Genomic DNA, 25,559 nt, shown 5'->3' with positions numbered 1-25,559 from the left:
TCATGATTGCAGACCACAGCCATGCCTCTAGACCACAGCCTGGAGCCTGGAGCCCCAGTGCTGGATCCTCAAATTACTGTCTTGGGATCCTTGTGTTCCATGCTGTCTTCCTCAGCCCTGGCCTGAGTGCCTGACATTCCAGCATGTGTTCTAGAGCCCAGGCTGGGAATGGGGCCAATTCCTGAAGTGGCTGCCAGGGAGAAGTGAAAGGACACTTGTCATTTCTCCTGCCCCGGGGAAAGGACCTTGGGTTGAGAAACAGCAAAAACCAAGAACATTATGTCTGTAAAGAAGCTGGTGGTAAGGGGAGAGGAGAGACGGGTGCAGGAAGGAGGGAAGGAGGCCAGCAAGGGAAGGGGCACATGCACCCACTGACTGCTCCCCAAGCCTAAGTGCAAACAGAAGCTCCCATCGTGCCTCATTGGAAATCCCCTGGAAACATTCCCATTTAAAGGAATCTGAGGACAAGGTATTGCATAGAACAAAGACCTCCACCAGGCAAAGAGGCTGTGCCCCTATCCCTTTTTCAGGCCTCTCCTCAGAGGGCCCCTGGGTCTTAGAAGCAATAGGTTCCTGGAGACACAGTGACAGATGTGGTCCCCACCTGTCAGTCCACACCACTAGCCGCCTCACTGCAGACAGATGGGTGCATCAAGGACCAGGCAGAGGAGGCCAGAGAGTACCCAGGGTCCTGAGCATAAGACAGGGGCTGGAGTGGGGCAGAGAAAGGCACAGATGTGGGAGGGAGGGGCACGTGCATAAAGGGGACCAGGCACTGTCCAGGGGGCGTGCACAAAGATTCAGCCCACTGCAGGATAGCAAGCTCAGAGCCTGCATCCCAGTTATGAAGAAGCCATGCTAAATAACATGCCTTGATTAACCAAGGATCATTCAGGTCACTGAAAACCCATACCCTATGACACCAAAATCTTACCATTCTTTCTATCATCCTCCTGTAAGTAAGGTGGCTGGCAGCCAACAAGTTCTACTTCTACTAGCATAACTCTCTGGTAACGTCTGCCACCTGCCACCCCTCATTGTGTCCCGATTTTGTGTGCTAGGACCACACAGCATCAATAGAGTTAGAATTCTGCCTAAAGTAAGAGTTGTAAGGCTCTAAGAGAAGGCCTGAGAAGTCTCTCACGTGAAGAATGTTTGTACTTATTTTCATCATGTTCATTTTGGATACCTGGAAAAATGTTTCCTCCTTTCCTATTTGTTGTTTGTGTCCTGGTAGGTGATAAATTTCTGTACATGAAAATATTGCCTTGATGGGAAGTTCTCTTCCTTTGTCGGGAGGCTACTAATGGGATTTTTTTGAGCATGAAAGCCTACTCAGCACCTCCTAACCTCCCCCACCCTCGTCCCCTCCCCACACAGCCCCCAAGACCCTCCCAGCAGACCCTGTAGTGCACCAGGAGGGTCTTTGCTCTGGTGGCTGCTCAGCCAGGCTCCTGGGGTGAATTCTCTTCAGGGGTGTGCCCAAGACAGAGAGGGAGAAGAGAGAGTGGGAGAAATGAGTTTCAGGGAGAATCAGAGAAGAAAAGCAAGGAAGAAACCAGAAGAATCTAGAGAGACCCTACTGTGTGCCAGGGTCCTTCCTGTTATCTCCTGAGGGGCCTGAGAGGGAATAGCATCTCTCTGGTCCAGACCTAGAAGCTGCCCGAACCAACACCTGACCACCTGACCCCTGAACTGAGGTGTGCAAACGTGTAGAGCAGATTTGTCAGAATGAGATGTGAGGGAGGCCCTGGAAGGCAGCAGATCAGCAGGGAGAGCCGAGGTGAGAGCAGGTGACTGGCAAGAGAGGGAGAGAAAGGCCACAGTTGACACAGGATGGGGAGGAAGGTTCAGAGTTCAGCGCGGGCAGGGCAGGGCAGCCAGCGGGTGCCCCAGTGGCCTGTTCGAGCTAGGGTACCCATGGAGAAGTCCAGAGCAAGCCTGCTCCCCAGGCTGCAGCAGCCCCGTGACCCTCCCTGTGTCCTGGCAGAAGGGTGCCCAGCCCGGCAGAGTCTGCACTGTGCTCTCTGACCACACCCAGCCCGTGCCCCAGCCCCCCAACCCTGTCCTCGTCCCGCTTTGTCCTAGGAGCCCCACAGCCGGCCAGCCCCATGCCTGGAGCTAACAGGGCTGCAGAATCGCCAATCCCAGAAGAGATGGGGCTGCCTCCCAGGCTTGGCCTTGACCTTCGGCTGCCGCCGGGGAGTGATGCGTCCGCAACCCTGACTTGATTAACATTTAAATGCCATTTGGTAAGAGGAGGAGGAGGAGCGGGGCTGGAACAAACAAACCTCAGAGCTAGAGCTGGAGCTGGAGCTGGAGCTAATTACTGGTTAGGGCACCTGGGCTGAGGAGCCTGCACCTCAGACGCCAAGTTGAAGATCTGTACTTGTCCCTGGGGGTCAGGGTGACTGCAGGGCTGGGGATGTGGCCAGGCCTCCTCCCCTCATCTGCCCTGGGCCCTTTGCTCATTTCACCAAGACTGAGGGACAGCCTCCATCAGCACGGGCCGGACCCCAGGACCCAGGTGAAGGGGACCACAGGGCTCCTCTGACCGTCCGCTTCCCACTCCAGCAGCCTCTTGGCCTGGCCTCAGTGCCCCTGGGTACCCTCTGAAGCTTCTTTTGGTCTTCCCTCCTGCCTTTCTCTTCCCGGTGCTCTCAAGCGCTGGGAAGGAATCCCCCGCCCCCCTCCCTAATGCCTCCCCAGCAGGGGCTGCCACTAGAATGGCTCTAATGGGCCAGGTTGCTCCCCCGGCTGGGCATCTCCGAGGGTAGTCTTCCCAATGAGGCTGGAGCAAAGGCTTTAAAAGCCACTTAAAACATCCTTGATGAGCAGGAGTGACCCCTTAGGAGGGAAAGAGGCGGGAATAAAGCTGAAGGGAGCTGCAGGGCTAGTCCGCTTCCCCACCTCCACACTTGGGTGGGGCCCAGGCACTGCTCCAGGCCACACCCTGGAGCTGAGTAGGGGTGCAACTGTAAACGAGGCAGCTAATTTTGTTAACAGCCAAGACTCTCGATTTGCATATTCAGGAGGAGTGCTGCCTTTGGAAGTCGTTAACACAAAAGTCTAAATAACTTCGCTAATGGGGCAGCTGCATGCGGTTACCCCAGGCTTGCCAGCCTGGCCAGCCTGCCAAACCCCACCCCAGCTTCCCTGGAGGAACAGGAACCCGTCAGGCAGCTGGATGCATTGGACGAGAGCTACGGTTAGCTGGTGAGCCACAGGCACAACCAAAAACCCCATTTAGCGACTTTAATCCTGGTGCGTCTTTAACTCTCCACACCCAAGTTTAGCTCTTGGTTTAACTCTGCCCTTTGGGTTGATATGTTTGCTGAGCCAGATCCAGGGCAGAAAATGCAACACTTGCAAAGATCAACACCCTTGTGGAAACCCTAAAGTACCTGTACAAATGACAACTGGCTTTCCTGTATGAATGGCCTTCACAAGCAGAATTGTCAAGGCTTAATGTATGTCCAGCATTGCTGGGGGCCCCAACATGAGTGGGGAGGGGCATGGCTGCTAAAAGTAACTAGAGTTTAATGAACACCTACTGTGGGCCATACCTGTGCTAGGTCTTGTTTTATAACATGTGCCTTCCTTGATCCTGACAACCCCACAAAGACAAAGATAACAGGCTCATATGTAAATAAACCCCACTTTGGAGACCCAGCAAGGGTGAGGGATTTTGTCGCAATCACATAGCTCCACGCATTAGAACTGAGATTCAGTAATGGGCGTGTCTGGCTACAAATCCCAAGCAGTTCCCCCTCTGTCCCACTGGTGGTCCTCCTGAACTCACCCACACATCTGCAGATGCCTGTACAGAACCCAAATATCAAGCCAGCAGAGGAGCCTTCCCTGCCCAGAAGAAGCCTGCAGGCATGAAGAGTATAGCCCTGCAACGAGACTGCCTGCCTCCAGACAGGCTCTGAGCAGACCAGTGCATAGCTTCGGACAAGTGATTTCACCTATCTGGGCCTCTGTTTCCTCATCTGTCCTCATTTTGGGGATGATTTCAGTAGTACTGCCCTGCTTGTCATGTGAAGGGCGAGAAGGGAGCTTGGCACACAGTAAGTGCTCACTCGTGTTATTAACTGGGGATCCCCCCACTCAGGGGTCCACTTGAAGGGCTCTGCAGAAGGCCTTGCTCACAGGTTGTGCTCAGCAGGCTGGTTCCTGTGCAGCCGGTGGGTGCCAGTGTCAGGGGAGGTCCCTGGCCCAGCAGTGATAAAGTGGTGCTTGCCCAGAGCCCTCAGGTCTCTGGGGCCCTCTGAGACTCCATCCCTGGATCAGATGTTTAGTGTCCATGGTGGTGGTGGCCAGAGATTGCAAAGAGGACTTCAGCAGGCAAAGCTGAGCAACCAGAAACAGGCAGCTGCAGGTTAAAAGGCAACAAATGCCCGGCATGGTGGCTCATGCCTGCAATCCCAGCACTTTGGGAGGCCGAGGCGGGTGGATTGCCTGAGGTCAGGAGTTCGAGACCAGTCTGGCCAACATGGTGAAACCCTGTCTCTACTAAAAATACAAAAAAATTTAGCTGGGCATGGTAGTGTATGCCTGTAATCCCAGCTACTTGGGAGGCTGAAGCAGGGGAATTGCTTGAACTGGGGAAGTGGAGGTTGCAGTGAGCCGAGATTGCTCCACTGCACTCCAGCCTGGGCAACAGAGCAAGCAAGATTCCATCTCCAGAAAAAAAAAAGAAAGCCCAGGCATGGTGACTCATGCCTGTAATCCCAGCACTTTAGGAGGCTGAGGTGGGCGGACCACGAGGTCAGGAGATTGAGACCATCCTGGCTAACAGGGTGAAACCCTTTCTCTACTAAAAATACAAAAATTAGCTGGGCATGTTGGCACGTGCCTGTAGTCCCAGCTACTTAGGAGGCTGAGACAGGAGAATGGCAACAACTTCCCGAGCACAGAGGGCTCATGCTTATAATTCCAGCACTCTGGGAGGCCAAGGCATGAGGATCGTTTGAGGCCAGGAGTCTAGGAGTGTAAGACCAGCCTAGGCAACATAGCGAGACCCTGTCTCTACAAAATATTAAAAATTAGCCAGGCCTGGTGGTGCGCAGCCCAGCTATTTGGGAGGCTGTGGAGGGAGGATCATTTGAGTCTAGGAGTTTGAGACTACAGTGAGCTATAATCCCGCCACTGCACTCCAGCCTGGGTGACAGAGTGAGACCCTTAAAAAATAAATAACTAAAAAGGCAACAAATGATGGCTCTGCTGGAATCCAGATGGCCCAGCACTGCTCAGCTCCACACCCAGAGGTGACCACTGACCAGCCCTTCTTTGGCACCTCTGAGATCCTCTCACATGGGCTGAGTCTTCAGGGTGCCTGACCTGCCTTTTGCTTATTCCTTTGCCAGGCTCCCTTGTCGCCCTTCACATGACATCACCCTTTCACTTACTTGACAGGTTTGTGTTTTGTTTTGTTTTGTTTTGTTTTTTTTGGAGACAGTCTTGCTGTGTCGCCCAGGCTGGAGTACAGTGGGGCGATCTTGGCTCACTACAACCTCCACCTCCTGAGTTCAAGCAATTCTGCCTCAGCCTCCCAAGTAGCTGGGATTACAGGTACATGCTACCATGCCAGCTAATTTTTGTATTTTTAGTAGAGATGGGGTTTCACCATGTTGGCCAGGCTGGTCTCGAACTCCTGACCTCATGATCCACCTACCTCAGCTTCCCGAAGTGCTAGGATTACAGGCATGAACCACCCATGCCCAGCCTCTTGACAGGTCTTTGCTGAACTCCTACTCTGTGTCAGGCCACAGGGAACAAGTTCGGCACACTGTGTGCCCTCTTGGAGCCTGCAGTCCTGCAACCTGAGGGAGGGACTACAGCCTACGCGCTTTCATGCATGCGCCTGCATCCTGCTCCTGTGCCAACCTTGAGCAAAGATTCACAGCGAGGTGTAAAGCACCTGGACTAATTCAGGAGAACACAAACAGGTCAGGGTGGCCTTGTCTTGGGGGTACCTGCCTCCCTGCCAGCCTTCCCCAGCCCCCTACCTATCCATGTCCTGCTGTAGCCATATTGCACACAATGTCTTATCCTCTGTATTAGTCCGTTTTCACGCTGCTGATAAAGAGACATCTGAGCCTGGGCAATTTACAAAGGAAAGTATAATGGAGCACTCACAGTTCCACGTGGCTGGGGAAGCCTCACAATCATGGCGGAAGGCAAGGCGAAGCAAGTCACATCTTTTGCGGATGGCAGCAGGCAAAGAGAGAGCTGTGCAGAAAAACTCCCGTTTTTAAAACTGCCAGATCTTGTGAGACTTACTCACTATCATGAGAACAGCACAGGAATGACTTGCCCGCATGATTCAATTACCTCCCACCGGGTCCCTCCCACAACATGTGGGAATTCAAGGTGAGATTTGGGTGGGGACACAGCCAAACCATATCATTCCACCCCGGCCCCTCCCAAATCTTAGGTCCTCACATTTCAAAACCGATCATGTCTTCCCAACAGTCCCCCAAAGTCTTAACTCATTTCAGCATTAACTCAAAAGCCCACAGTCCAGAGTCTCACCTGAGACAAGGCAAGTCCCTTTCGCCTGTGAGCCTGTAAAATCAAAGGCAAGCTAGCTACTTCCTAAATACAGTGGGGGTACAGGCGCTGGGTAGATACAGCCATTCCAAATGGGAGAAATTGGCCAAAACAAAAGTGCTAAAGGCCCCACACAAGTCCGAAATCCAGTGGGACAGTCAAATCTTAGAGCTCCAAAATGATCGCCTTTGACTCCATGTCTCACATCCAGGTCATGCTGATGCAAGAGGTAGGTTTCCATGGTCTTGGGCAGCTCCACCCCTGTGGCTTTGCAGGGTACAGCCTCCCTTCCAGCTGCTTTCACAGGCTGGTGTTGAGTGTCTGTGGCTTTTCCAGGCACACTATGCAAGCTGTTGGTGGATCTACCTTTCTGGGGTCTGGAAGATAGTGGCCTTCTTCTCACAGCTTCACTAGGCAGTGCCCCAGTAGGGATTCTCTGTGGAGGCTCCGACTCCACATTTCCCTTCTGCACTGCCCTAGCAGAGGTTCTCCATGAGGACCCCATCCCTACAGCAAACTTCCGCCTGGGCATCCACGCGTTTCCATACATCTTCTGAAATCTAGGCAGAGGTTTCCAAACCTCAATTCTTGACTTCTGTGTACTCACAGGCTCAGCACCACGTGGAAGCTCCAAGGCTTGAGGTTTGCACCCTCTGAAGCCACAGCCCGAGCTCTACGCTGGCCCCTTTCAGCCCCAGCTGGAGCAGCTAGGATGCAGGGTGGGGACACAGCCAAACCATATCATCCTCCTTGCCTTTTCGCTTGCTGTTCCCTCTACCTGGAATGTTCTCAGACCTTCACAGGCCTGCGGGCTCCAAGCTCAAACCTCAGCTCCTCTGGGAACTTTCTCTGATGCTGCTAGACCCTCTTCCAAGTCTCCCACTGGGCTTTGTACAAACCTATGTAGTCCCCATGGGCATTTCAGGCTAAAAGGCATGGGTGTGACCCAGTGAAGCGAGTGGTGGAACCTGGGGCAGGTGGATGAATGGGTAGGAGAGGGGCTGGAGGCAGCTTGGGCCTGGGATCCTGCAAAAGGGGCAGAGTACAGGCCTCTGGGAGAGGAAGAGTGTAGGAAAAAGTCCCAGGGGAGGCTGCAGAGAAGTGTGGGGCATGGACACCTGAGGCTAAGCAAGGTGCCGAGTGCCTGGCATAAACCCAGGCTGCCGGTAGAGAGATCTGGGTCAGGGTCAGAGAGACCAAGGTCAGAAGGCAGCCTAGCTGAGGACTCAGGCAAGTTACTGAAGCTCGCTGCATGCCATGTGCCTTTCCTTTAATAGCTTTTGGGATTATTGAGAGGATGTGGCCAAAAGCAGATGTCAAGCATAGCCACTGCCAGCCCAGGAGGGCCCCTTCGTTGATGTTGGTCCCTGCAAACACTGGGGTCCTCCTAGTGCCCAGGGACCTGAATCCACTTCTCCCTCTTTACTCTCTGCACCTCTGACCTCCCCAGCACCTCTAACCTCCCCAGCACCTCTGGCCTTCCCAGCACCAATGGCCTTCCCAGCACCTCTGACCTTCCCAGCACCTTTGACCTTCCCAGCACCTCTGGCCTTTCCAGCACCTCTTTCATGTCCTTGTCTCTTTCTGGGCTGCCATTCCACACCCAACCGTTCTCTCTTTCTTTTCTGCCCCCCACCCTTTTGTCACTCTCCCTTCAATTACTGTAACACAGAATAGAAGAATATTTTATTTGGTGTCTTTATTAAATCAAGTTTTATGTTCACTGTTTTTCATTTTAAAAGCGGATGAGTGCCACATACTATTTTTTCTTATTAAAAAGCAAAAACTCAACTAAGTGGCTTTGATGGCCCCATGGTGGTTCTGTCCATTGGTCAGTGGTTCCTAATAGAAAATGGAAAGGTGTGGGTATTCTCCTTGGCCACTGGACTGTCACCTGAATCAGAAAATAAACGGCCTCAGTGCACCCATACTACCATTTCCAGAGAGACCCTGGGGCCAGGCCAGGGCTGGGCTGGGCTGGGCTGTGCTGGGCTGAGTGCCTGTGGCTGACGAAGACAGACTGCAGTGATGGCTCAGAACAGATGCCTCCAGGGCATTCCGAGGCCCCATCTCATGTAGGTATCCCCACTGCAGCTCCCTAGCAGAGGCCTGCTGAGTCTTGGCTCCTGGCTGGTTTGACTCCAAAGGGCAGTGGCACAGAGCCCAGGGAAGCCAGTTTTGGAGGTATGGCTGAGTAAAGGTCTCAGAAACCACCTCCTCCAGGGAGACTGCCTGGCCTGGTCACCCACTCTTCATCATGGCACTCTCTCTCTTCAGGTCTGTGTTTTCTTTCTTTTGTTTTTTGGAGAGGTGGGGTGGGTGGGGATGGAGTCTCACTCTGTCGCCCAGGCTGGAGTACAGTGGTGTGATCTCGGCTCACTGCAACCTCTGCTTCCCGGGTTCAAGCGATTCTCCTGCCTCAGCCTCCCGTGTAGCTGGGATTACAGGTATGCACCCCTGCGCCCAGCTAATTTTTGTGTTTTTAGTAGAGACAGGGCTTCTCCATGTTGGCCAGGCTGGTCTCAAACTCCTGACCTCAAGTGATCCACCTGCCTCAGCCTCCCAAAGTTCTGGGATTACAGACGTTAGCCACTGCACCAGGCCAGGTCTGTTTTCAGTTTAAAGTTTATAGCTTTCCATGTTACACCACATGTACCTGCACACACAGAGATATACACTCAATACCACATGCATTCCTGGACATAATCAGGCAATCTCATCTTCTCAAACATATTCACATGTGCACACACTCACAGATGTACAGACATCAGTAACAAGGAGCACATTCACAGACACAACTCTATGTCCTGTATGTGCACACCTTACATCCCCAAGCAGGCTCACACTGTCTCTCTCCCAGAGTCACATACAGATTCCATCGTGTCTAGACACAAAATCAAGCATTTGCAGGCACAGGAACACAAATGCACATGCGTGTACACATATACACACATGCACATATGCACAGTAGGCACACACGTGATCAACTTCATACCCTCAGAGCCCTGCTCTCAATGTCTGGAGAAAGAGCTGCTGAAAACCAAAGGCTTCTTCCTTATGGAAATATCTCTCTCCATAGGCAGAGGCCTCACTGAGGCCTAAGTGCTACTTCCCTGGCTCCCACCACAAACCAGAATTACCAAAATGATCTGAACAGCAGGGTGAGCATTTAGAACTTTTGCAAACAGGTTCATCAATGGCTCCTTGCGGGGCAGGAAGGCTGGAGAGAAGGCATGGTGGGAAGGCCTAGAGGGCCCTTTTCCTCCTGAAGTCCCCCATCCTGGGCCTCTGCTCACCCCAGAGTGCACCCACCTCTCCTGCAAGCCACAGTGTAAGGAGTCAGGGGAGCAGAAGCCAACGTGGCACCACCCCAACCCCAAAGGGCTCCAATTTTAGAGCCTGGTCCCAAATTCAAAAGCGTTTGCTGAGAGAATACATTTTTACCTACCTACGGGAACCAGAATGTTTTCAAGTTCACATTTGTATGCAGCCGAGCATGGGTCTGTGGAAGAAATTCCTTGGCCTTGTACTCACAGAGGTGGCTCTCAGTTCTCCCAGGCACCCCAGATTGGGACAGAAAAGCCCAGGCCCTCTGCGCCCCCCACCAGTCCCCACAATCAGAAGCATGGGCTTCATTTCCCCCAGCAATGAACTTGGAGGTCTGACAGCACTGGAGCAAGGCTGAGCTTGTTTTCCCTTACTCTGCATGGCCCTGGAAGGTCACTCACCTAGACTTAGTTTGGCCATCTGTAAAATGGGGATAACGGTGCTTCCTCATGCAGCTGTTGGGAAGGGAAGTGAGCTCCTGGCACACTCCCTAGAACACAGCAGGTGCTCAGCATAGTTCACTTCCTCCCCTAAGGGCCCAAGTCCTAAGGGAAAAAAGTAAAAACTCACATCTCCGGCTCTGACCTTTGTCCTAAGAACTGGTCCCCCCACAGGCCAGGCGCAGTGGCTCACACCTGTAATCCCAGCACTTTGGGAGGCCGAGGCGGGCAGATCACGAAGTCAGGAGATAGAGACCATCCTGGCTAACACGGTGAAACACCGTCTCTACTAAAAATACAAAAAATTAGCTGGGCGTGTGGTGAGTGCCTGTAGTCCCAGCTACTTGGGAGGCTGAGGCAGGAGGATGGCGGGAACCCAGGAGGTGGAGCTGGCAGTGAGCCGAGATCACGCCACTGCACTCTAGCCTGGGTGACTCCATCTCAAAAAAAAAAAAAAAAAGAAAGAACTGCCCCCCCCGCCCCCACCAGCCCACTGGTCTCTTTGGCATTTCTACCTGAAGTCTGGGCAGGGTTAAAGGTAAACTCATCATTCCCCCTCATCCCCAGTCCCCCACCTTTCCCCCAGCCCCACCTAACATCCTTATTACTGTCAAAAGCATCACTGTCATGGAATCTTCAAGTCCCCTTGAACGGCTCCTGGTCTCTCCTGCTTGCTGACCCAAGTCCCCACAGTTCTTCCCCCATGCCCTATTGCTGCCAGCTGCCTCCAAGCCCTTTGCAGGATGTTCCAATTGGTTCTCCCAGCTCCACACCAACCTCCCCTTCCCCCACATCCACTGCTCTCCTCAGCACCCAAGCCATCACCTCAGACCCTTCCACAGGGGCCAGCCCCGTCACTCCATTGCTGACCCCTGGGATTGCTGAATCTGGCCTCACTGGAAAGTTTAACTATAAAACCATATGCCCAGTTGAGCTTACCCCTGGTCCCTAAGCCCCCCAAGAAAGGGTCTTTTATGTATATATATATATATATTTTTTTTTTTTTTGAGACGGAGTCTCACTCTGTTGCCCAGGCTGGAGTGCAGTGGCGCAATCTCGGCTCACTGCAACTTCCGCCTCCCGGGTTCAAGCAATTCTCCTGCCTCAGCCTCCCAAGTAGCTGGGACTGCAGGCACGTGCCATCACACCCGGCTAATTTTTTGTATTTTTAGTAGAGACAGGGTTTCACCGTGTTAGCCAGGATGGTCTCGATCTCCTGACTTCCTGATCTGCCCACCTTGGCCTCCCAAAGTGCTGGGATTACAGGCGTGAGCTACCGCGCCCGGCCAAGAAAGGGTTCTTGTTCTCCCAGCCTCTGGTGCATTCGGGCACCAATGGCAAGGCGCTGTTCCACCCCGTCCCACTCTGCACCTTGGTGTCTGTCTCCCCAGATTCACAGCTGCCTCCTCTCAGCTGAGTCCTGGCATCTCTACCTGGGAGACTTTCCTGCCTAAATTCCCCATCCACCTCCAAGTGGCAGCTTTCATCCCCCGCTTCCAATGCTGACCTCCAGATTCTGACCTAATCTGGTGGCTGAGAATAGTGATGAAGGGAACACCAGCTCTAGGGCCAGGCTGCCTGGAATCCAAAGCAGATACTTAAAATTCTTTTTTTTATTTTTAATTTTTTTTTTTAGAGGCAGGGTCTCATTCTGTGGTTCAGGTTGGAGTGCCATGGTGCAATCATAGCTCACTGCAGTCTCGAACTCCTGGCCTCAAGGGATCCTCCAGCCTGGCTAATTATTTTTTATAGAGACTGGGTCTCACTATATTGCCCAGGCTGGTCTTGAATTCCCGGGCTCAAGTGATCCTCCCGCCTCACCCTCCCAAAGTGTCGAGATTACAGGCATCAGCCACAACATGCAGCAATACATTTCCCTTCTGCAGGCTGGGGAGGAGGTAACATTGAGGACAAATGTAGTGTGTGTAAGCTCTCACGGCTGTGCCAGCATGAACTGACAGCCATCATAGTCCCCTTGCTTGGTGGCTTGCACTGATGTTCTCCTCCTGGCCTTGCCCAGAAGGAGGGACACCTGCAAAGGTGTGGTCTGGGCTTCTGCCCTTGCACACCCAGGATAAAAATTCCCAGTTTTCAGAATAACAAGATGTTTAAGATGGAAGGGAGGAGGATGTTGGCAGCACCACATTGCATGCATCCCTCGTTTAAACTGTGATTGTGGACCAAACATTTAGAGACCCATGTACTCAGACAGACTTCACTATGCTAACTTCATCTGCTGGCCACTCCCTTGGCTGCCTAGAGCTGCTTCCCCTGAGTAGTGAAAAATATTCTTGAAAGCTGTGTTTCTGGGCCAGGTTCGGTGGTGGCTCACGCCTGTAATCCCAGCACTTTGGGAGACTGTGGTGGGCAGATCACTTGAGGCCCCAGGAGTATGAGACCAGCCTCGCTAAGATGGCAAAATCCTGTCTCTACTAAAAATACAAAAAACATTAGCAGGGCGTGGTGGCGTGCACCTGTGGTCCCAGCTACTCAAGAGGCTGAGGCAGGAGAATTGCTTGAACCTGGGAGGTGGAGGCTGCAGTGAGCCAAGATCGCACCACTGCACTCCAGCCTGGGCGATAGAGTGAGACCCTGTCTCAAAAAAAAAAAAAAAAAGAAGAAGAAGAAAAAGAAAAGAAAAAAGAAAGCTGAAAACTGTGTTTCTGGACACTGGCTCAAAATTGAATATAATATCAAAGTAAAACCAGCCCTTTCATATCAAAGGCAACCTGGCAATTAGAGTTGAGGACACAGATGACCAGTGGGAAACCTGGGCAGTAGGTTCAGGGCAGGTAGAGTCATTCTGGTATACGTTGGGCCCGTGGGCCTGAACAGGCACGCAGGAGGAGAGGGGAGAGGCATCGTTTCTTGGAGAGGAGGCCACATGTACATAATGTGTATGAATGTATATAATAATCATTAGCAGCGATTCAGCTGTCTGCTGCTGGTATGCAAGATAAATTGCATTAATCAACACGATGCCTTCAGAACTTTTGGCGAGTCGTTTCTTTTGCTAATTGGGCCACTTAAACTAGACTGTCATTGCACCAGGATCTCCGGCTGTCAAGACAATTACTGGCATGTGCAAGCCCCTCCCTTCCAGCCCCCCTCTCCCCCACCAGCACCTTTGCGTTTTTAAATGTAATATTAATGAGAAGAGCTATACTAATTACCTGGCCAAAAATAAAACCCTGAAAGAAGGGGGGAGGTGGGTAGGGATGTGACCGACAGGGAGACTTGGGTAACCTTGAAGGCAGTATGAGAAGCTCTCTGAGTGGGGGCTCCCCAGAGACCCAAGACTGGCCCAGGCCAGAGCTCCAGGCCTGCTCCCCAGCTGTTGTGGAATCCTGACCATGCCCTCTCCTCTTGGTGACCCTCAGGACTTCAGGCCAGATGCACCATGAGCCCTGGAACTGGGGATCCCAGAATCCTGGGGTCTTAAGTGAGATAAGCCTGTAGTCCCACCATCAGACATTTGGAGCCTGCTAGACTCGGAGAGATAAAGGGACCCTTGCGAGGTCATCTGATTTTAGACTCATTTCCCAAAGAGACCAGCAGAATAATCCACTGATCAGTAAAGCCAAGTTCAGATTGCCTAGCTCAGTAAAACAGAGCAACCCCACCTTGGTGGCCTCGGGAAATTTCAGAAAGGGGAGGTTAGGGGTCTGTTTGAAGGTGGGTCCTGCAATGTGCAGTATTGATTGGGATCGGACAGGCTCTGTGACATAATCCTTTAGAAACTGGTAGACAGAGCAAGGCCAGGGTTGAGCAGGTGAGGATGAGTAAACAGCCATTCACAGGCCAGCAGATTTGTCCGGGTGAGTGAGCTGTTGTCCTGAGAAGAGGAGCGCGCGTGGTCTATTACTCAGAAATTTGGATTTTCAGGAAGTTCTTGGAACAAAGTTATTTGCATCTTTTGCTTCCTGGATGAGAATGTTCTGGATAGTCAAGTCATGTTCACGTAGAAAGTCTTGGTCGTCATATGTTAAGCTGTGTGCTGCAGGCAGTTTGCTAAAGTGTCTGCATTTGTCAGAGGAGAATGGGGCTCTGTTCCCATCGTGTGCCTGTCCCTGGTTGCTGAAGGCCCCTCATCCACCTCACTGGACATAAAATTCTATGGATTCTTGCTCCTCTATCTGTCCCAGGCATGTCCCTCTCCCAAATTGCACTGCCACAGCCTGCTTCGGGTCCTCCCTGCCTGCTTATCTCTCCTCCTCCTGGAGGCTGCCAGTGTTTACTAAAAAGCAAACCCAGTCACGTCGCATGTGATCGAGGGGCCACCGCTTGCCTCTCCCCTCACCCATCCCTTGCCCTGTGAACTCTGGCCGGCTCCCCTTTTCAGTGCAGCCCCTCACCTTTCACTCCACTTACCACAGGTCCTCTGTCTCTGAGCCTTTGCACCTGCTGTCCTGCTGCCCGAATGCCCTTCTCAGCCTCGTGCTGCTGGAAAACTCCTGTTTGTCCTTCAGGAATCAACTGCACCAGCCACCCTAGAGCACATCCTTGGTCACTCACAGCTCTGTGGTTCCGATGGGCTGGCCCACGCTGCTGTCTGGGTCTTAGCTCACCTGCATTATTGGTTTACAGGTAGAACCTGTGTCTTATTCAGATACACCCTAGCGCTTGGCACAGGGGCTGCCTGTCCTTCATGCACAATAAGTGCTTTGGAGTAAATGAGTGTGTCTTTTCCATTGCCTTCTGAATAAAAAAAGAAATGATTCTTTAGGCCTGCCATAATCTGTCCTGCTTTAATTTAAGCCTATTGTGTCATCTCCTGGTTCCCTCCTTCCTCCCTAAACCCGCTACAGAAAGAATCCAGCCACGGTAGGGAAGGCATCGCATCTCCAGGCTGATAGGCCCCTCCAGGGCCTCTGACTTGGACAAGGAAGTTTCCAGTTTCTCCCCCCAACGTGTCCCTCTTCTTTGAGAGCCTAAACAGATACCCACAGATAGGAGGGACATCCTGGTGGCTATCCTTGATGCGAGTTCAGGTTGGGAGGGCAGGGCCCACCTCAGAAAACTGGGAACTGCCGAAACCGCCTGCGCTATCTCTGAGTTTCCGAACACTGTTTCCATGAAGTGTGAGTTACCTTCAAACTGTGTCCAGCACCTCCCCCTGCTTCATCCCTGACTTTTCCCAGGGCTCTCTCCAGGCCCCATGGATGTGCTGCCGTTGCACCCTGCGATCTCCAGCTCATTCCACCTTTGGAGAGTTGCATTCATCAGCAAAGCAGGCAAGGTCAGGGGCCAGTTTGATCAGCCTGCAGCCTCTCCCAAACCCCCTGGAGGCATGAGAGAGGGGAGAGAGACCCCCCAGTGCAGCTCCCCTGGGGGAGTCTCTAAGCAGCCCCAGGGTGGCCTTGAGTGACTGCTTCTTCCTCTCCCCTCTCCTAGAAGCAGAGGATGGGCTGGGCCTTGCCTTGGGGAGTGTGTGATAATAAAAGCTCCTGGAAGAAAAGGAGGAAAGGAGGTGTGAGAAAGTAATGGAGGAGTGAGGAGACCAGGAATGACCCCCGATGGGTTTTGTTGTTGTTGTTGTTGTTGTTTTGGAGGATAGAAACCGCAAAAGCCAAGACCAGGAGGAGGGAATTTTGCTCCCATCCCCCCACCGTCCCACCCCACCTCACTGCTCCAAGACTTTCAAGGCCATGGTCCTGTCCCTTGCTCTCCAAATCCAGGCAGATAGAAAATGGAAGATCCCACTTGAGCCCCTGGCCCCAGAGGCTGTGTCATAGAGAAGCAGGGTTGTGGAGCAGATGGTCCGTGCCCGGAAGCGCCTGATGTGATGTGGGATGGACAGGACCGGGGGTGCATTCACATCCCTGGCCGGAGGGAGGAAGGCTTCAGTGGGCAAAAAAGGAAGGGACCAAAGAAGCCCTTCTTTCTGGGTAAGCTGGGAGTGCTCTGGCCCAGGAGGCTTTTCAGGGGCCTAGTGTGTGCGTGTAGCTCCTGAGCCTCACCTCACCACGTGAAGGGCATTTGACCCTGCTTAGCAGGTGGGGAAATTGTGGCTAAGAGGGGTCAAATAGTAACTGATCTCTGTGCTCTTTCCAAAAGGCTGTTTAGAGAAGGAGGCGCAAGAGAGAAGAGCAAAATGCAGAGGTAGACAAAGGCAGAGACGGAACTGGGGATGCAGGGCACAGGGCCAGGCGGGCAGGAGACCAGAGGCCCGGCCTGGAGGAGGGTCAGTTGCTGACCTCAGGCACCAGGCCCACCCATAACCACCTGCTTGTGTTTCTCAGGGTGGGAATTGAGCCACCTGGTTGGCCCCTTCTGAGCTGGGAACGTGGGAGGTATCTCTCTCGAAGAAGAAAATAAAGGGGAGCCCTCTGGGAGGCCCATCTTGGATTGAGCCTTAATCCAAGGACACAGGCCACAGCAGCCAGGTCAGCAGGGCCAAACCAAGCCCGTCCTCTTCCTCCCTGCAGGGGGCTTCTGGCCTCTCACCTGCTGCAACCCCCTGTGTGGTGTGGGACTTGCCCCCTGTGTACCCAAGTCCTTGGGTACCCTGGATTTGGCACCCCTCTACTTGGCTCCTCCTGCCAGGGTGCCCAGGGGCAGGTTTGGGGCTGGCTTGATGCCCGCAGACATGTGCTCAGGAGAAAGGGAAGTGAGGGGCAGAGCTGTGAAGGAACCTCCAGCAGAGGGTGTGCGGCCGCCCTGGGTCCTTCATGCAGGTGACGACCTGCCCCGAACTAGAGAGGTAGGAAGGGACCTGAGTGGCTGTGAGGCAGGGCCTCTCTGGGACACTTTCCAGAATAAAAGCAGACTCAGGCACAGAGAGCCAAGTGTAGGGGTGGGGGATGGGCCTGCAAACCCCTTAGTAATAAATGAATAATTGGCCCAGGGTTCCCCTGATTGAGGGACACGGCTTCATGTCAGCATCTCCCACACAAGGGCCTCGGATGAATCTTCCCTTCGTGGCCACTGTCACCAACCAACTTGGGCGTGGCGTGGGGGGTGGCAGGGAGACCTTGGAGACTCCCTGTGCACCCCTCCTCCACGCTCTGGGGCTCCCCATTCTCTTCCTGGTCAAGTTTACAGACAGACTTCCCACCCTCAGGGTCATCTGAGGTATTGGCCATTGTCTGTTCAGACTTCGCTCTTGTGAGCTTGGGCCTTTCTCCTCCAACACCCTCCATCAGCAGGTCCAGGAGGCTCCCTCTCCAAGGCACCTCCCAGACCCACCCACTGTCCCTCCCCCTTCAGCCTTGGCATATGAGCCCTCACTCTCCCACTCCCCTTCTTCCCCTCCTCCCTGTTCTCAGAGGCTCAGGTCAGCCAGTCCCTTCTCCAGATCCACCAAAGATACCCCGTCCACCACTCCCCAATGCTGCTGGAAGACAGACACCCTGGGATGGGATCATGGGGCCGCTGACTTCCTCATCCCAGCGGTAGCATGAGACATGCTGCCCCCATGGCTGCCCCAGGCTTCCTCCCTCCTGCCAGGCTCTGCCAATCCCCCAGGGCTTCTGCACAAGCAGCTGCCATTGCCCAAACCCCTTCCACCTACTCCTCCCCAAACTGACTCCAATCCCGAGCCTCGCCCTCAATAACCACTCCTCTGCGATGCTTCCTCCAACTGCCCATTTAACTGGGCACCCCTTTCTTCTCTGCCCTGGTTCCAGCAGCACTTTCCTAACTGAACATGGCTCATGTACCTGCCCCCCACCTCCTGGCGTGTCTTCATCCACACAAAGAACCCGACTAGGTGGTCCATCCATATCTGGTATGTACTAGGTGCTTGCTGAACCCCAGTCGCAGAATGACTAAAACAAGTCAATTCTAGGATACCAGCTCTGCAACTGGCAAACCTGCCCTGCCTCTGTCACACTCTGCATTCATTCCCCACTTCTCCCCTGGAGCCTAGAGCTCTTTTTTCCCCCTGGGCTCCCTACAGAGGCTCCTTCCCTGTGACCTATAGCATTCTGGGTATGTCCCCTCCCAAGGGATATGCACATTGGAGGGGACCAGTGACTCATCCACTAAAGTGATGCCGGAATGCAGCTGCACTAGACATTGGGGCAGGCCAGTTGGAGGAGGTGGGGGCAGGCACTGTTCTTGACATAGGGAGCCCTCATCCTCCAGCAGACATAGAAGGAGGCTGCAGGCTGGTCCCTGCTCCACACTACAGAAATGGCCTCTGTGGCGGACCAGCAGGACAGGCACAGCACGGTTCTCCCCAGGAGGGCGCCATTTGGAGTAATCAGTTTTTTAATTACTAGTAATTAAGTATATGTAACCTGCCCAGCTGCCACTCCAGGAAATGGGACAGAACTCCTGGGGGCTCCGGGGGCCAGGCATGCACTGGGAGCCTCAGAGCCCATTCAGCCACCTCAGCACTGAAGAGGGTGGGTAGGTGGGTGGTTTTGGGAGTGCTAAGGTATGCAGGAGAGACCCAGGAGACTGGAGAGACCTCAGCCTCAGGGTAGGCTGTGCCTTTCTATATCAGGGGTCCCCAGCCTCCCTGGGGCCTGTTTCCATTCTCCCTTCAGCCTAGAGCAGCAGGACACCTGCTCAAAAGGTTCTTGAGGTGGGGTTCCCAACCAGCAGCTTCCTCCCCCAGAGCCTCCCAGGCCTTCAGCCACTCCAAAGGAGTCCTCCACTGAATTCCCCAGGCTGCCACTCCACCCATAGGAAAGTCTGCCCCACCCCACCCCAAAGCACTCAGTTCATTTTAATGTCTACTGAGCATCTACCATGTGCTGGTTGCTGCAACCGAGGTCTCTAAGGCCATGCAGCCATCCCTTAGGGGAGCCTGTGTCCCCCACCCCACCCCCGACACCCAAAGCTCACAGAGAGGCTGGCTGTGCCCAGGGCCCAGCTCTTGGCTGCTGGTCTTACCCTCTGTTCTGCCCTCTCCCTGCCCCTCTCTCCACTTCGTCTCTCTCCCACTCCTCCACCTTATGATGCTGTCTTGCATTTAGGGTCTTTTGCGGAACAATTAAAATGAGTGAAGGGAACCTTCTTGCTTTCTTGCAGTTCTTCTTTGGGGAATGGGCTGGTGTGGGTAGCCCCTGCTGAGATGACACCTGGCCTAACCTAACGATCCTTTAATTAAACCCATCCTTATAGGAGCTCTGTACACCAGTCCTGGGGACTCCAGCCCCTCCAGAGACAGAGCCTCCCGAGGCACCCAAACTTTTCTGTCCGCCTCCACAGCCATTCTCCAATTCTCCACCCCAGCACATTCTACATCCTGCAAACATGGACTTGGGTCATCTCTGGACAAACAGGAAGTGGGTTCTGGCAGGTGGAGCAGAACTGGGGGCTACAGGCATTGATGGGATCAGGGAGGGCACACTCCCCTCTTAGAGTCTGCAAAAAGGGCAAGGATTTTCATGTGCATCTCTAGGGGGATGAAATCCAGGATGCTGCAAGGCCACCAGCAAGCTGGGCTGCCAGGGCGTGTCCCCTCCCCTTGCAGCCGTTCCCGTCATCTGTCAAACAGGAATGGTGACAGCTTCTGTCTTCAGGTTCACGAGCGTCTGCATGCCTCTGAAAACCCTCTGCCAACATGTAACATGGGGTTAGTGCATGGATAGCAAGACATGATGAAAAATACAGAAAGCTGTGCACATATGCATGGTGACTCTGGCTCCTTTTAACTCCAAGGGAACAAGCTTTCATGGCTCACACCAGAGCCTTTCCTCACCTCGGCAAAGACCAGTTCTTCCAGAGTCTACCTGTAGTTTCTCTTGCTATAGCCAAGGTATAATGCTACCTTTCAATACTTCCTAGAAAGCAAATGGCTTAACTTTGGATTTTAAAACCCAGGGAGCCACTGTACTCACTGTTACTTCTTTCTCCCCTGACCCCCTGTCTCTGCCCCGTGGCACCCCAGTGCTGTGGCAATGCCTGCCAAATTTCCAGGGAGTCACTTGTTCTCTGTTTCACGGGTTGTTCTGTGTTTCACGGGTTGCTTGCCATGTGTAAGCCACGTCTGTCCTCAGCACTTGCTCTCTGGACCCCATGGGGCAGGTCAGTGGGGAAATGTGCTCCTCAATGATCTGGTTTTTACCTGGTGTTACTGTGGATGCCCAGCCCCATCCTACCCTGCAGAACTCAACCTCTCGAGGAAGGCTCCTGAATGAGCCACATCAAGCCAGCAGTGGATGAACAGTGTGGAGCTGACAGTCCTAGGCAATGGGTGATCAGAAAAGGAGCAAAATGGGGGTAAAAGGTTGATGCTAAGAGATCTAATGGGCTTCCTGGAGAAGGGGCTTCTTAGACAGAAGTCTCTGAAAAATGGGGAGGAGTTTGGTTGCAGAGAGACCATTCCTGGCAAAGGGAACAGCCAGGGTGAAGGAGGGAGGGAAGAACCAGCCGTGGTGAGGGGTACCAGAGAGTTGGAAGTGGACAGCCTGATAGGAGTGAAAGGTGAGGGTTTGGGAGTGGGGAGTCTGGATGGGGTCTGCTGCAGCACATGTGCACACTTGTCTGCACACGTATTCTTAGAGAGCCAAGGTTCGCAGGGCACGGAACACGAGCAGCATCCAGCTGTCATGGCAAGGAGGAGGATGCAGCATGCCCAGACTGGCCACTCTGAATACACGCACAGGTGCCCAGCTTGCAGTCAGGCAGTCCCTTCCTGCACTCCTACATATACACACGCACCCCCACATATACACACGCAACCCCACATATACACACATATGCACCACATATACCAGGGGTGGGATGGGAGGTGGGGAGGCTGAACACAAAGCCGAGCCTGGCCGGCAACCCTTAGACTGCACCCGGCTGCCATCTGGTGGCTGTATGCAGCTCTGCGCCCTCTAAGATTTCAGGATTTTGGAGCCTTTGGGATGTCACACCCAGAAGTGGCATCCCCCTCCCCACCCCGTGTCTACACACACACACACACACACACACACACACACACACACACACACACAGAATCAACACCCATTCTCAACACAATGGCCCACACCCAAATGCACACAGGGCCTCACAACAAAACTGCTGCAAACACAGGGACACAGACGCAGTCATTCCCATGCACACTTCTTTTCTACCTCTTCTCACCAACTAAAATTCAGAAAGTAAGGGTAGAAGACACTGCTGCTAGCCCAGCACAGGCATAAGCACAGCAAGCTTCCCTGTGTTTCCAGAGGCCTTGGTCTGTTCTTAGCACACCAGCGATTCTCACCTGTGGTCACACGGTGCACACCCTTCCAGCTCCCACATCTACCTGCCGCCCACACGTTTCATTTCCAGGATCTCCTCCTTCAGTGTAAGGACGGGAATGGCTCAGTGGGCAACTCCCAGTGGGGGTCATGTTCCCACAGACACCCACATGCCATGGGGACCGCCAGGGACATGACATAGGGGTTGGGGGGGACACCACCCACAGAATCCTTCACGCTGCAACCCAGGGGGCTTCCTTGCACTAATGGGAGTGGTGAGATTCAACTTTTTTTGCATTAGTTTTTGTCCCATGTAGCTCACAACACATCTTTATCTACATTAGCTCAATATGGATTATTATTTCCCCCATTCTTTCCCACATGGAGGCATGGAGGTTCAGGGAGGTTAACTGGCCTAGGGTCACACAGCTAAGAGATGCCTGCAGGAACCCAGGCTCCCCCACTCTGCTTGGACCCTGGCCTGCACTCCCTGGGGAGACCTGAGGCCCAGTGGAGCTGTTTCCAGTCTGGGATGAGGAAGGGGCACAGCTGCAGAGCACAGGGGAGGGTGGTGCCCACTCCTCACTCCTGCCCTCCACTGCCTCTCAGAGGCCTCTCACCCTCCGAGGCAGGCCCCCTTCCCCACCAGGCTGCAGCATCAGGAAACAGAACATGGGGTCACTTTTTCTGAGCCCGGCTCTCAGACTGTTCCACCCTTGCACTCTCCAGGCCTAACCTGCTCAGAGAAGGTTGCTATCTTTATGGGGCCCTAGGGACTGCTGGCAGGAACAGAAAACTGGGGAGGAGGTGGAGAGGCTGCCATGTGCCCAGCGTGTGTGTGTGTGTGTGTGTGTGTGTGTGTGTGCATGTGCTGTTATCTTTCCCCAATCTGAATTCCTATGTGGATACAAAATGGCCACAGCCCTACCAGGACACAATTGCCAGGGATGGCTCTAAGAGACCAAGTTAAGGGGCTGGTGGAGAAGAAAAGGTTGTGTGTGGCACCAAGGATGAGCTCCACTGTTCTCCTGTCCTCCACCTGAGAGGAGATTGGGACACACACACACGCACACACACAACACCAAGCACCACAGACATGCAACCTGCAGACATCCATTTACAGATAGATCACAAACAAGGAGAGTAAGCGAGTCTTAGCAAGGAGACCCAGATGAGTCAGAGAGTTGTGGGATTAATCAGGAGAGACTTCCTGGAGGAGGAAGATCTTCAGCCTAATGGCATCAGGGATCCATTAGAACGATAAGTGCCTGCTGTGAGGCAAGCATTGTTGGATTGAAACCTTCACCATCCTAGCTCCTAGGAGCACTTCCTTTTGTCATCATACACTCCTAGAGTCAAAAGGAACCTAAGTGGTCACTGGCCCAACTCCACCCCAGGCAGGGTCCCCTCTGGAGCATGCTGGACAGCAGCCCATAGGTTCTGCTGGATAGAGCACAGTCATGGGGCAGAGGACACTCTGAGCTTCCAGGCAGCCTGTGCCCATGTTGGACCAGGAGTTCCTGCGTGAACTGTCTGCAACGTCCTGACCCCAGAGCCAGGTGGAAAGCCCTTATGCCCTCCACTCACTGCCTTCCAGTGGGATGCCCCTGCACCTGCTCAGGCTGAGTGGCCCCAGTCTCCTTTAACCCTCCTCATGTAAGGTGAACATACTTCTCCTGTGTCTGAACACGCTGCATATTTTGACCTAAATGCCACATCCCCATGTGGGCTGTGGCCCAGACCACTCCCACTGTCAGCAGCACATCGCATGCTGAGCTAGCTGCCCAGTGTGGGCACTTTCCTCCCAGTCTGCCCCTCTGGGATCCCAGGGCTGCTGATTACACAGACCAGAGCCCAACCTGCTGTCCCCTCCAAGGCCCCCTGGGAGGACACACAGCCACACCCATGGAGCCTGGTTATTCAAACCATGATGAATCCATTTCCTGCACATGGTAGCCAAATCCTGCCCTGAAACCTCACTTCCTATCTAAGTGCCCTACTGAATCCTCACTGGGGAGTCTGAGTGGTTGGTGCCCTTCCCTGCTCACCAAGGTGGTTCTTTTCACCATCCCTACTTTAAGCAATTATTCTAAAGAAGAGAAGTTAGGCATTTCCTGTATGAATGGCTGGGGACTGAACAGTGGAAGCTACAAGTGGCTCAGACGTTAGCTTGATATCACTGAAACAATGTCGAATAGATGAAAACAGCTGACTCATGCGTGGAGTGAGCCTCCAGTCAGCAGAGGCATTCAAACCAGGGTTGCCTGTGAGATGCTGCCAGTAGCTTGTGCCTGGTAGGATTAGAGCCCTTGCATCTTCTCTGTGTCTGTGATTCACTGTCATTGTCAACTACATCAGCATGGACACGTTCTTCAAAAATAAGACTTCTTTAGTTGTGACTATCTGAGAAAACCCAACACACCTCTGCTCAGGGATCTCAGGCTGGCCGCCCCTGGTGTAGAAGACAGAAAGCCCACTGACCACTGGGGTCCACCCTCAGGCCTGTGGGACTGGGAGACGAGAGGGAACTCAGCCCAGGAATGGTTGTTGAGTGAATGAATGAACAAGAGAATTAATGAATGATCAGCCACAAGACCATGTCCCCACTGAAGCTTCTTCCTGTCCCAGGCTCATCCCCAATTCAGAGAACCTACAGGCTCCCCTTGGACTCCCCCACTGTATTAAGACCCAGCCCAGGACCTTGTGAGGAGCACTGTCATGTTGGTCTGGGTACCCCAGTGACATTATCACCTGCTGGAGGAGCCCCAACTCAGTCAGGGCTGAGCCCAGCCCAGCTGGCAAAGGCACAAGGCTGAGAGCTCGGAGAGCCACTAACCAGCTTCTCACTCTCACTTAACGTGGCATTTCTGAGGTCAGGATGGGTGCCCCAGCCTGGTTGTTGGCTGCACTTCGGCAAGATTTCCTGAGGCTGGGGTTGGTAGGAAAATGTGTGCGGACATTTTCCTATCAGTGCCCCCCAGGCTGGGCATTGTGGTGGGAGTCAGGAAAGGGGGAGACCCCATTTCAATCACATGACAATGGAAGCTGCTGAGGCTGTTAAGGAGGAAAGGGCTTAACGCAGCCGTGCTAATAAGGATTAATGCGCTGATGGCAGGTGGGGTGCACTCTATGGGGGAAACAGCCGGACACACAGAACCCCAAGTCACTGGCAATCCCAAGGCTGGGAGTGGCTGCACCTTGGGAAGTTCAGCGCCTACCCTCTCCCCTTGCCTTTGCCCCCTGCCCCCCTCTGCTATGTGTTCATTCATTGGCAGGGGCATGACCATGCGTCTACACACGAGAAACCCAGCAAGATGCCTCCCAGGCCTTTTTTTTTTTTTTTTTGAGACAGAGTCTCAGTCTGTCACCCAGGCTGGAGTACAGTAGTGCGATCTCGGCTCACTGCAAACTCCACCTCCCAGGTTCAAGCGATTCACTTGCCTCAGCCTCCCATGTACCTGGGATTACAGATGTGTGCTATCACACCTGGTTATGTTTTGTATTTTTAGTAGAGATGGGGTTTCACTATGTTGGCTAGGCTGGTCTCAAACTACTGACCACAAATCATCCACCTGCCTCAGCCTCCCAAAGTGCTGGGATTGCAGACATGAGCCACTGTGCCTGGCCACCTTTCAGGCTTTGCACACACATGACTACATGTATGAGCACACTCATGCTCACACAAATGCATCCACCTATCCATCTGCATGGACCCACATAGCCGAGCTCTGGTGAGCATCCTCCTTCCTCCAGGCGCAAGCCAAGCCCCCACTTTCTGGTCAAGGGATCCATTTGGGGGACAAACACTCTCCCTCCCCCATACAGAAGCAGTGGCTTGCCAGCAGGGTAAAATTTATCATCATTATCCTAATATCATCTCCAGGCTTGGCAGTGGCAGCAGCTAAAGAAAATACCAAGGCTTAACTTGGGGTGTGCAGGAGAGAGAGGCAGGAGATAGGAAATATGATTTATGATGGAAATCAATGCAATCATAATACTTTGTGCTTATAAAATTGGGCTGCGCCTCCTGTGCCCACACAGCCCGCATCAGCTCTGCCTGTCAAAGGAGGCTAGGAACCCTGGGCTCTGGGACCAGGATGGATGC

The 25,559-nt window shown here is 53.4% G+C and overlaps 1 protein-coding gene across 125 annotated transcripts in view, besides 2 other annotated features; it reads left to right on the top strand.

Moving 5' to 3' along the window:
• Positions 1-25,559, top strand: part of CELF4 (CUGBP Elav-like family member 4) — a 322,955-nt gene that overhangs the window by 201,246 nt on the left and 96,150 nt on the right. The gene's annotated exons all lie outside the window — the stretch shown is intronic.
• Positions 1,451-2,447: an enhancer, noted in NCBI's record as "NANOG-H3K4me1 hESC enhancer chr18:34942069-34943065 (GRCh37/hg19 assembly coordinates)". NCBI's record gives its function as "activates a minimal SCP1, AML or CMV promoter by ChIP-STARR-seq in naive and primed H9 embryonic stem cells {active_cell/tissue: H9 hESC(naive and primed)}" and the evidence as "EXISTENCE:reporter gene assay evidence [ECO:0000049][PMID:30033119]".
• Positions 22,490-23,050: an enhancer, noted in NCBI's record as "NANOG-H3K4me1 hESC enhancer chr18:34921466-34922026 (GRCh37/hg19 assembly coordinates)". NCBI's record gives its function as "activates a minimal SCP1, AML or CMV promoter by ChIP-STARR-seq in naive H9 embryonic stem cells {active_cell/tissue: H9 hESC(naive)}" and the evidence as "EXISTENCE:reporter gene assay evidence [ECO:0000049][PMID:30033119]".

Source organism: Homo sapiens, chromosome 18 (assembly GCF_000001405.40).
Source record: "Homo sapiens chromosome 18, GRCh38.p14 Primary Assembly".
Classification (NCBI taxonomy): domain Eukaryota; kingdom Metazoa; phylum Chordata; class Mammalia; order Primates; family Hominidae; genus Homo; species Homo sapiens.
Note: the sequence above shows the minus strand (reverse complement) of the source record. Positions and strands in the feature narration are given on the sequence as shown.